Source organism: Homo sapiens, chromosome 11 (genome assembly GCF_000001405.40).
Source record: "Homo sapiens chromosome 11, GRCh38.p14 Primary Assembly".
NCBI classification, from domain to species: Eukaryota; Metazoa; Chordata; class Mammalia; order Primates; family Hominidae; genus Homo; species Homo sapiens.
The window spans coordinates 9660287-9672556 of record NC_000011.10 but is presented as its reverse complement, the minus strand read 5'-3'; the positions used below and the strand labels follow the sequence as shown (position 1 = coordinate 9672556).

General features: G+C 40.7%; 1 protein-coding gene and 1 pseudogene across 2 annotated transcripts in view, besides 3 other annotated features; both read right to left on the bottom strand.

Moving 5' to 3' along the window:
* SWAP70 (switching B cell complex subunit SWAP70) overlaps positions 1–8480 on the bottom strand; it is an 88917-nt gene extending 80437 nt beyond the window's left edge. For both annotated transcript variants that reach the window (NM_015055.4, NM_001297714.2), the window contains exon 1: positions 8279–8480. In NM_015055.4, coding sequence (NP_055870.2) covers positions 8279–8377 — 99 coding nt within the window. In that variant the 5' untranslated portion in view covers positions 8378–8480. The remainder of the gene's footprint in view (positions 1–8278) is intronic.
* Positions 7873–7992: an enhancer, noted in NCBI's record as "active region_4420". NCBI's record gives its function as "activates an Ori minimal core promoter by ATAC-STARR-seq in GM12878 lymphoblastoid cells {active_cell/tissue: GM12878}" and the evidence as "EXISTENCE:reporter gene assay evidence [ECO:0000049][PMID:35858748]".
* Positions 8133–8632: a silencer, noted in NCBI's record as "silent region_3135". NCBI's record gives its function as "represses an Ori minimal core promoter by ATAC-STARR-seq in GM12878 lymphoblastoid cells {active_cell/tissue: GM12878}" and the evidence as "EXISTENCE:reporter gene assay evidence [ECO:0000049][PMID:35858748]".
* Positions 9103–9302: an enhancer, noted in NCBI's record as "active region_4419". NCBI's record gives its function as "activates an Ori minimal core promoter by ATAC-STARR-seq in GM12878 lymphoblastoid cells {active_cell/tissue: GM12878}" and the evidence as "EXISTENCE:reporter gene assay evidence [ECO:0000049][PMID:35858748]".
* On the bottom strand, positions 11601–12162 carry RPL21P97 (ribosomal protein L21 pseudogene 97; annotated as a pseudogene).

Genomic DNA, 12270 nt, shown 5'->3' with positions numbered 1-12270 from the left:
ACAAAAAAAAAAAAAAAAAAAAAAAATTAGCCAGGTGTGGTGGCATACACCCGTAGTCCCAGCTACTCAGGAGGCTGAGGTGGGAGGATCACTTCAGCATGGAGGTCATGGGTATGGTGAGCTATGATCGTGCCACTGCACTCCAGCCTGAGTGACAGAGTGAGACCCTGTCTCAAAATAAATAAATAAATTTTTTAAAATAAGTAAAAAATACATTTATTCCAAAGATGATGTCAATATTCCAAGCTTTTCATAATTTATCTTTAGAGAAGAAATATGAAGTTTATGGGACATGGAAAGGAAGAACCAACCTGATTACTTTACAATCATATATATATATATATATATATATATATATATAGACACACACATATATGTATATATATATTTAAATATATTATTTATAAATATTATTTTAAATTATATTTAAATTACATTTAAATTATATTATATTATAATTATATTTAAATTATTATTTAATTATATATTTTATACTATAAAATATATTATATAAAATATATTATTAAAATATATATTATTAAAATATATATTTTATATATTATATAAAATATAGAAAAATATATAACATATAAAATATATTATATATTATAAAATATATTATAAAATATAATTATATTATAATTATTATATTTAATAATTAAATTAAATTAAAATTATATTTAAATTATAAATATAATTTATTTATTTTATATATTATATATTATTATATTATATATTTATATATTTATATTTATATATATTTATAAATAATAATATATTATATTTATATTATATATTTATATATTTATATTTCTATGTATACATAGAAATATATTTATATATTTCTATGTATACATAGAAATATATTTATATATTTCTATTTATATATATTTATATAGAAATATATTTATATAGAAATATTTATATATTTATATAGAAATATATTTCTATATAAATATATTTATATATAGAAATATATTTCTATATAAATATATTTATATATATTTCTATATATTTCTATATATTTATATATTTATATATATATTTATATATATTTATATATATATTTATAAATATACTTTTATATATTTATATATATATTTATAAATATATTTTTATATATTTATATATATATTTATAAATATATTTTTATATATTTATATATATTTATATATTTTTATTTTTATTTTATTTTATTTATATATTTATATTTTTAAATATATTTATATATTTTTATATTTATATTTATAAATATATTTTATATATTTTTATATTTATATTTATAAATATATTTTATATATTTTTATATTTATATTTATAAATATATTTTATATATTTTTATATTTATATTTATAAATATATTTTATATATTTTTATATTTATATTTATAAATATATTTTATATATTTTTATATTTATATTTATAAATATATTTATATATATTTTTATATTTATATATTTATATATATTTATATTTATATTTGTATATATAAAAAACAATAATAGGCCGGGCATGGTGGCTCACGCCTGTACTCCCAGCACTTTGGGAGGCCGAGGTGGGTGGATCACAAGGTCAGGAGTTCGAGACCAGCCTGGCTAACATGGTGAAACCCCGTCTCTACTAAAAATATAAAAAATTAGCCAGGTGTGGTGGCAGGCACCTGTAATCCCAGCTACTCGGGAGGCTGAGGCAGGAGAATGGCGTGAACCCAGGAGGTGAAGGTTGCAGTGAGCCGAGATGGCCCCACTGTGCTCCAGCCTGGGTGATAGAGCAAGACTCCGCCTCAGAAAAAATAAATAAATGAAAATAAAAATAATAATAAAAAATTAACTCTCAAAGGTATGAGACCATGTTTTCCTTAAAAGTTTTCTCCCTCAGCTCCAGCGTTGCCCCAAAGGGGTTCTTATCTCTGATTTCTGGTCCTCTGCTTTTCTTGTTCCTCTCATCATCTACCATAGCCATTCCCCAAGACTGTCAATGGCTCTTTTCTCCTCTTTTTCCAAGCTTCAACTACCAAATTCCTTACTGACAACCCCAAATTTTCCCAGGAATATCATCTCCAGCTGAACATACACCCATCAAGGACCTCAAAAAAATAAATAAATAAAACAAAAAAAAACTTTTCGTGTTCAAAACTGCATCACTGCATAAACAGCTCCTTCTTGTGGCTTTTCCATTTCTTTTAAAACCCACTTCTATTAAAAACCATTATTTAAAAAAATCAAAACCACTACTACACATCTGGTCAACTGTAGTTGACATCTGAGACATTTCTGAATCTGTCCTTTCCCGTCCTCCTCCCACCCAATCATGGGTCAAGGCTCATACCTTGACCCACCATTTCCCTCTTGTCCATCTTCACTGTCTCTAGTCCCTATTACCTCTTATCGGGGCTATTGCAATGGTTTCTGTTATCTTCCCAATCCACTCTAGCCAGCACATCTGCTATGTCGCCCCAGCTGGAGTACAGGGTGAGATATCGGCTCACTGCAACCTCCGCCTCCCAGGTTCAAGTGATTCTCCTGCCTCAGCTCCCAAGTAGCTGGGACTACAGGTGCGTGCCACCACACCCAGCTAATTTTTATATTTTTAGTAGAGACAGGGTTTTGCCACGTTGGCCACACTAGTCTTGAACTCCTGACCTCAGATGATCCACTCACTTCAGCCTCCCAAAGTGCTGGGATTACAGGTGTGAGGCACCGCACCTGGCAAGTAACTTTCTAAAGTGCAATTCTGATCACAACTCATCATTCTCTGAAAACCTGGGGGGCCCCTGGCATACACCTAATTTGTGTGGCAATCAAAGCTTTCTATGCATTAACCCCAATCTATTTCTGTAGCTTTATCACCAGCAATAACTCTCTCTCATACACACACAGGAACACATATGTGTATGTTCTACACTCCAATCAAAGTAAGTTACACAGAAGTCCCCATAAATACCTGATTCATTCCCATCTCTTGCAGTAGATCAGTGTTCCCTAGGGATAACAGCAATCAATAACTATCCATTAAATAAATAAATTAGGCTGGGCGTGGTCGCTCATGCCCATAATCCCAGCACTTTGGGTGACCGAGGCAGGTGGATCACTTGAGGTCAGGAGTTTGAGACCAGCCTGGCCAACATGGTGAAACCCTGTCTCCACTAAAAATACAAAAATTAGCGAGACATGGTGGTGCACATCTGTAGTCCCAGCTACTTGGGAAGCTGAAGCAGAAGAATCTCTTGAACCAGGGAGGTGGAGGTTGCCACTGTACTCAACCCTGGGCAACAGAGCAAGACTCCGTCTCAAAAAACTAAGTAATTAATTAATTAATAGAATGGGCTTAATCTTCCCCCATTCCTACATAATCACATCCTAACTTCCTTCGGAGTTCATTTCAAAGAAGCTTTTTTCATAAAGCAATCACACCAGTGAGAAGAAATCGCTTCTTCCTTTAAAATCTCATGGCTCCATATCTTCTGTCACACTCAGTATCTTTAACCCAATATTTCTGTTTGTTACCTTCACCACCAGACTTTATGTTTTTTAAGGATCAGTAATTGTCTGAGTAATATAATCTCTATCTGGAGAGAGAGAGTGTGCCTTCTTTAATGGTCATTTAGCCTTTTAATTTGCCTACCAAAGTTTAAACTCTTTGAAGGCAAAGATTCATATTTGTTTCTTTTTTCTCTGCCTTTCACCACCATATCCCTTATCTAGTGAATATATCCATTCTCTGTGTCAAAAGTTGTGAAGATAACTCAAAAAGGCAAGTATCAAAAATATTTTAGAATACCCATATAGCTTTCCAAAGCAATACATTTTAACCATCATTTTGGATACATAATTATTAGTCTGCTGTTTAACAAATCAATTATTTGACATTTCCTCCAAGGAGATATTAACTCTTAAGAGCCTAAAAATACTAATCTTCTGACTAAATTAGCATGGTACCTTACACATAGTAGACTTACAGAAGGTTACTGTATGAGTGAATGAATCAATCAACAAATTAAGGCAAAAACTCTACTCCCAGCCAACAGAACACAGAACTAGGGTCAAACACAAAAGGAGACCTAAATAAAAATGTTTAAATATTTTCAATTCTACGAACACTGGCAAGATGAACAGAACTGAACCAATCCCAAAGTCTCATACAGACAAGAGAGAGACAAAATACAATTGCACAGTTGCATTATCAACATACTGTGGGTGAAATCTATGAACTGGGATTTAACATTTCCTGCCAAGACGCTTTTCCTATAAGCAGCCATAAAGACAATTTTGAATAAAGTATCATCAAAGTAATCCAAAAAATCTCATTTATGCCGTCAATTGGAAGAGAAGAAAATGAAGAAACCATTGGCTTTAAAGTGTGAAAATAGGCCAGGCATGGTGGCTCACGCCTATAATCCCAATGCTTTGGGAGGCCAAGGCGGGTGGATCACCTGAGGTCAGGAGTTTGAGATGAGCCCAGCCAACATGGTGAAACCCCATCTCTACTAAAAATACAAAAATTAGCCAGGTGTGGTAGTGGGCACCTGTAATCCCAGCTATTTGGGAGGCTGAGGCAGGAGAATCGCTTGAACCCAGGAAGCAGAGGTTGCAGTGAGCCAAGATCGCACCACTGCACTCCAGCCTGGGTGATAAAGCGACACTCCGTCTCAAAAAAATAAAAAATACAACAGTAATAGTAATAAAGTGTGAAAATAGGATGGGTGCAGTGGCTCGTGCCTGTAATCCCAGCATTTTGAGAGGCTGAGGCAGGCATATAGTCTGAGCTCAGGAATTCAAGACCAGCCTGGGCAAATGGCAAAACTCCATCTCTACATAAGTACAAACATTAGCTGGGCATAGTGGCCTGTGCCTGTAGTCCCATCTACGTGGGAGTCTGAAGTGGGAGGACTGCTTGAGCCCAGGAGGTTGAGGCTGCATTGAGCCATGATCGCGCCACCGCATTCCAGCCTGGGCGACAAAAAGACCTTGTCTCCAAAAAAAGAGAAAAAGAATTATAAAGAGTTGTCTGGACAAGGTGGCTCATATCTGAATACCAGCACTTTAGAAGGCCAAGGCGGGCGGATGTCTTTGAGCTCAGGAGTTCAACACCAGCCTGGACAACATGACAAAACCCTATGTCTACAAAAAAATACAAAAATGAACTGAGCATGGTGGCTCATGCCTGTGAGCCTAGCTACTTGGGAGGTGGAGGCTGGAGGATCGCTTGAGCCAGGAAGTGGAGGTTGCAGTGAGCCAAGATAGTGCAACTGCACTCCAGCCTGGGTGACACAGCAAGACCCTGTCTCTCTCTCTCTCTCTCTCTCTCACACACACACACACACAGAAGTGTGAAAATCTTGGTTCTAGATTAGCTACTACTTACAACTGTGACTTTGGACAAATCACTAAACATATCATTGCAGTTGCTCACACCTGTAATCCTAGCACTTCTGGAGGCCAAGTTGGTTAAATTGCCTGAGCTCAGGAGTTCGAGACCAGCCTGGGCAATACAATGAAACCCCGTCTCTACTAAAACATACACACAAAAAAATTAGTCAGGCATGGCAGCGGGCACCTGTAGTCCCAGCACTTTGCAGGGCCAAGGCGGGCAGATCACGAGGTCAGGAGTTTGAGACCACCCTGGCCAATATGGTGAAACCCCATCTCTACTAAAAATACAAAAATTAGCCAGGCTTGGTGGCACGTGTCTGTAGTCCCAGCTACTCAGAAGGCTGAGGCAGGAGAATCGCTTGAACCCGGGAGGCAGAGGTTGCAGTGAGCCGAGATCACACCACTGCACTCTAGCCTGGGTGACAGAGCGCAACTCCGGCTCAAAAAAAAAAAAAAAAAATTAAGAGGTCATCTGGGAATATCTGGAAAAAAAGAATAAAATTTTCTTCTCCTCTTAAGATCTTTAAAAGAGAAATGATGGTTGAAAGCAAAAAATTTAATATTGTCTGATGGGGATTTCAATGTATGTAGATTAATAAATATGACAATTACAACATAAAGCAGTGAGAGTAAAGGGACCTATATGGTGATAAGTTTTCTACATTCTCCTTAAAGTGGTAAAATATTAACTCTAAGTACACTATGAAAAGTTAGGGATGGATATTCTAACTCCTAGAGCAAGTACTAAAAAAACCTACATGAAGAAATATAGTAAAAAACTCTATTAAAATGAAATATTGGCCAGGCACAGTGGGTCACACTTGTAATCCTAGCACTTCATGAAACCAAGGAGGGCAGATCACCTGAGCTCAGGAGTTCAAGACCAGCCTGGCCAACATGGTGAAACCCCGTTTCTACTAAAAATACAAAAATTAGCTAGGTGTGGTGACGCACACCTGCAATCCCAGCTACTTGGGAGGCTGAGGCACGAGAATCTCTAGAACCTAGGAGACAGACGTTGCAGTGAGCCGAGATCACACCACCGCACTCCAGCCTGGGCAACAGGGCAAGACTGTGTCTCAGAAAAAAAAAAAACAAAAAACTAAAGCATATTCAAATAATCCCAAAGATGGAAGAAAAAGAGAGGAAAAAAAAAAAGCAGAAACCAAATTATAATAAAATGGTAGCCCTAAATCAAACCATATCAATAATTACATTAAATGTAAATGGCCTAAATATACCAATTAAAAGACAGAGATTGTCAGAATGAATAAAAAAAAAGACCCAGCTACATCTATTTATTAAAAACTTACTTTAAATAAAATGGCATAGGTAAGTTAAAAGTAAAAATAAAAGTAAAATGTAGACCTACTCATAACTCCCCCGAACTGGAAATAACACAAATTCTCACAGATGCATGGCTAAAAACTACCATACATCCATGCAATAGAATATTACTTAGCAATTTAAAAAATTATTGGTACACACAACAAAATGGATTAATCTCTAAGGCATTATGCTGGGTAAAAGAAATCAGTTTCAACAGTTACAAACTATATGACTCCATTTACATGGCACTTCGGAAAAGGTAAAACTATAGCAATTAGGAAAGATCAATGGTTGCCGACAGTTGGGGTGGAGGCAGGGCAACATCAGGGAGTTTTTTAGGATGATGGAACTGAGGAAGCCATGGTTGTGGTGATAGTTATATAAATCTATACATATGTTGAAATTTATAGAACTGTACACCAAAAGTCAATTTTACTGTATGTTAATATTTAAAAATGAAGTAAAATAAAAATTACGTGGATGATCTCCATGGACCCTTCCAGACTATGATTCTATCAGTGAGAAAAAGAAAGGAGAGGCAAAAGGAAGACAAGGAGAATGTTAAGTCCTACTGGCATAAAAGCCACTACTCAGAAGAACGGGATTACTGTACAAAAATATACAAAACAAACCCAATCTTCAGAATTTATTCCCAGAAGGGGCTAAGAAAACCGGACATTCGGATCTAAAATATGTATATTTTTAAATGCCTATGAATAGCTTTTCTTGTCTGTTTCTATATTTTTTTACTTTGAAGAAGCTGCCAATTTCTGCTGGCTTAATGCCAATTTCGCTGCTTGGGGTTACTCAATTTACAAGCATCCCTTTATTTATACCCTATACTCTAGGGTCTCCGGCAGTCACAATAACGACTCTGAAAAAGCAGTCGCTTTTGCAGGGTGCCAGAAAGATCAGCGCTCCTCACCCGGAACTAAGGTCCCTGTGGGACACAGTACACCCCGTCCACTAGTTCCAAACTTAAAAGACGCTGGGCGGAAGGTCTTCCCAAGTCAAAAAGCCTCCCAAAGGAGAAGGACCCTGGAGGCCGGGCTTCGGGGCATTTCTGCGTCTCCGGACTGCCCTGTCGCCTCCGGGGCAGCTAGCCGTTTTGAGGACTGTCCTGGTGTGGGGCTGTGGGCTGCAGAAGGTTCTGCCCAGCGACCTTGGGCAAGTCCCTTCCTCTCCTGGAGTAAGAGGAAAATTCTGGGAAGGCTGTGTAAGGGAGCTTCCCATTGCCGCCTCAGAATCCACTTTCTGCCCCCCGCTCTCCAACGCCAAGAAGGAATCACACTTGGCCCTCCAGACTTCACCCCAGCCTTATGCCCGCCACCCTTCCCAGTCCCTGGGAGACCCGCGGGAACTAACACATCCAACCGAGGGCATGGCCCGAAGGCAAGGGGGAGGCAGTAAACACCAAATCCCGGTCTCAGACCCACTCCGCCCCAAGCGGGCCTACCGGGCGCATTCCGACCCGCCCCGCCCTGCGGTCACGGCCCGCCAGGTCCCGCTTCCACCCAAGGGAAGTACAGAGCGCGCCGGGGAGGGTCGGGTGGGGGGCCGGGTCAGGAGGCGCCCACCTTGAGCTGGGACTTGGAGACCTTGCCGCTGTGGTCCTGGTCGAGTGCGGTGAAGGCGTGCCAGATGGCTTTGAGCAGCTCCTCCTTCAAGCTCCCCATGGCCGCGGCCCTGCTGCCCCGCCAACCCCTCCTGCCCAGCCAGCCCCTCCGCGCCTCGGACGCCCCTCAACCTCCGCAGCCACAGCCCGCCGCGCAGTCACCTGACCCGCCAGGCCCCGCCCCCGCCAGGCCCCGCCCTGCTGCCGGCGCCGGTCCAGTGCCGCGCCCACAGCCGCCAGAGTGTGGGTTCTGCGAGTCAAGCCACGCCTGGTGGCAAGAATGCTTGGCCTTCAGTGTCAGCCAGGACGGTAAACACATCTCCCTAATGTTTCCCAGACCAGTTCGGGCCATTTTGGGTGCTCGAGTACAACACCTCACACAAATGACCGCGTCTTGAGGAAAAACCCGAGAGATTAGGTGAGCAGCCTACCCGCCTCCTCCCAGCGCCCCGCAGTGAAAAAGGGATCCCTGGTCCTGTCCTGGGAACGGAGTCACTGTCTGAGAAGGCCAGAGAAGACCCCGAAAAGTCCCCAGACCAGGACTGAAATGATAGCGCAGTCCCAAGTCGGGGAGATGCAGGGCGGCGGGGAGGCAGGAAGGACCTCGAGGGAAGTTTGTTGGTTCATTTCGCAAAAGTTTATTCATGCATACTCTATCTTGGGTTCTAGGGACACAGCGACGACGTTTAAGGGGAGTTTAGAAGTCAGGGTCAGGCAGCATTTTCTTCCTAACGCCTAGCTGTTGTTCAATTCACATCTTAGGAGGGGTTTGACCTGGGTAATACCTCTCTGTAGTGTTTCTCTGCTTGCAGAATAGGAGATCTGGGCCAATTCCAAATCACTCCACCCATTTTACTAATCCAAAGAGATGGACCATTTAAAAGAACGTATTCGGCCAGGCGTGGTGGCTCACGCCTGTAATCCCAGCCCTTTGGGAGGCCAAGGCGGGCGGATCACCTGAGGTCGGGGGTTCGAGACCAGCCTGACCAACATGAAGAAACCCCGTCTCTACTAAAAATACAAAATTAGCCGGGCGTGGTGGCACATGCCTGTAATCTCAGCTACTCGGGAGGCTGAGGCAGGAGAATCGCTTGAACCCGGTAGGCGGAGGTTGCAGTGAACCAAGATCGCGCCATTGCACTCCAGCCTGGGCAACAAGAGTGAAACTCCGTCTCAAAAAAAAAAAAAAAAGTATTCGATTGCAGCTGTTGAATTAATATCTGTTCGCGGTGGTCACAATGGTCACTTGATCTCTTTGGGCTTCAAATTATCCCGTATAAAAAGAGCAGGGTTGCACCAGATGTTCTGGAAGGGTTCTTGCAGTACTAGCATCCTAGGATAATAACTATTGCCGGTTAACTAAGGTCTGATTAAATCGCCAGGCTCAGTACCTCTCCTCTCCAATCCTGGACTAATTGGAGAGAACAATAAACACCAAGAGTTTTTAAAATGAGGTGGTTCTCAGATGAAGTTTGGTTTTGTTTTGCTTTTTTAAGTTCCTTAATGCACATGTTTGCCTTATTAAGAAAGGAAAAGATCTTCATAAGAAAGGGATATTTGGAAAGAGAAGAACAAGAAGGAGCCTCTTCAGTGAGTTTGAGATCAAAAAGGAACTGGTGGGGAAGAGGAGAGGATGGCCCCACTGACGAAAGAAGGGGCAGGAGCAAAAGGGTGGCCAGCCCCTCACTGTGACTGTCCTGAAGGTTCTACCCCATTTCATCACCATTTGTCAGGACTTTTCTTGCCCTACCAGAATCCAATTTCTATCATTTATCTTCCCCATTTCCAGCCCAAGTCTGCCAGTCAGCAAAACCACATGGTTTAACCTCTGATTTATTCATGCGAAGTCAGCTTACCCTGAGTAGCAAAAAAAAAAAAAAAAGAAGAAGAAGAAAAAAGAAACGAAGAAAACCTCCTAATTCTCAAGGTTCAGTTTAACCACTATATGACCCTTCTTCTCTCTCAGTATCTGGAAGTACCAAACATATTTCAAAGCCTTTTTTTTATGACAAGACCAGGACATTGTGGACTTCCAAATTCCTACTTCTCCCATCATCCTCATTCATACAATCCAAACGCATTTTTTTTCTTTTTTTTTCTTTTCTTTTTTTTTTGAGACAGAGTCTCACTCTGTTGCCCAGGCTGGAGTGCAACGGTATGATCTCAGCTCACTGCAACCTCCGCCTCCCGGGTTCAAGCGATTCTCCTGCCTCAACCTCCCAAGTAGCTGGGATTACAGGCGCCAGCCACCACGCCCGGCTAATTTTTTTATTTTTAGTAGAGATGGGGTTTCGCCATGTTGGCCAGGTTGGTCTCAAACTCCCAGCCTCAAGTGAGCTGCCCTCCTTGGCCTCCCAAAGTGCTGGGATTACAGGCGTGAGCCACCATGCCCTTCCTATCCAAACAAATTTTAAAGTAGCATGATGTCATAGAAAGCGCTGTGCTTTTCCTGGGTGCAGTGGCTCCTGCCTGTAATCCCAACACTTTGAGAGACTGGGGTGGGAGGATTGCTTGAGGCCAGGAGTTCAAGACCAGCCTGGGCAATGTAGCAAAACCCCGTCTCCACAAAAAAATTGAAAATAAGAAAGAAAGAAAAGTAAAGAGTTGTGCTTCAGAATCTAACAGATTATATTAATCTAATGCTGTGTAACCAATTAACCCAAAATTTAGCAGCTTAAAACTATAGTAAACATTATTTCATATTTTCTGTAAGTCAGGAATTTAGAAGCCACTTAGCTCTATAGTTCTGGCTTGAAGTGTCTCAGGAGGTTGCAGTAAAATATAGGGCTGTAGTCATTTGAAGGCTAGGCTGATGCTGGAAAATCTATTTCCAAGGTGGTTCACTCACATGGATGGGTCGTTTACAGAAGGCCTCAGTTCCTCTGTATATGGGCCTGTCCTCAGGCTGCTTGAGTATCCTTACAACACGTCAGCTGGCTTTCAATTGATTCAAGAAAGAGAAAGATGGAAGTTGCAATGTCTCTTACGATCCACCATCAAAAGTCATTCACCATCATTTCTGCAATGCTCTACTGATTGCTCAGGTCAAATCTATTTGATTTGGGAGGGAAACTACAAAAGGATATGAGTACCAATGGGCAAGAATCATGGGGGTCATCTTGGAAGATGGCTACCACACAGATGTCGGGAAGAATCCGGGCTTCCCCATTGACTCATCTATGAGTAAATATAAGGCTTCATTTCCTCATATGTAAAATGAGAATGCTAATATTTATTTTGCAACACTTCTTTTTTCTTTTTTTAATTTTTTTTTTTTTTTTTACAGCCCAGAGGTCCTTTATTTTTTTTTTTAACACCTATTATGCCATGAATTCATAGGAAATAGGTTCCAGCAGCTCAGGCTGCTTCCCGTTGGTTCTCACAAAGTGTGCTTCTCTGGGTGGAGCAGGCTGGCGCTTTAGTTGAACCCAGGTACCTTTCTCTTTGGCGTCTTTCTTTTTCTGATCATTTTCCTTCACGTGTTTCAGGAAGCTATCTCGGCTCTTAGAGTGCTTAATGTGCTCAATACGCACCTTAATTCTCTTGGCAAGAATCTTGCCCTTAACTTGTTTGTTTACAACAATGCCAACAGCATGCTGGGTAACATTGTAGACTCTTCCAGTTTTGCCATGGTAACACTTGTGGGGCATTCCTTTTTGAGCAGTACCCATTCCCTTGATGTCTACAATATCAGCTTTCTTATAGATTCGCATATATGTGGCCAAAGGAACAACTCCATGTTTTCTAAAAGGCCTAGAGAACATATATCGGGTGCCTCTCCTCTTTCCCTTTGTGTTCGTCATTTTGGCGAATTACTGGAAGATGGCGGTTCCGGCCGAAAGGAAACTTTTTTTTTTTTTTTTTGAGACGAAGTCTTGCTGTCACCCAGGCTGGAGCGCAGTGGCTTGATCTTGGCTCACTGCAATCTCTGGCACCTGGGTTTAAGCAATTCTC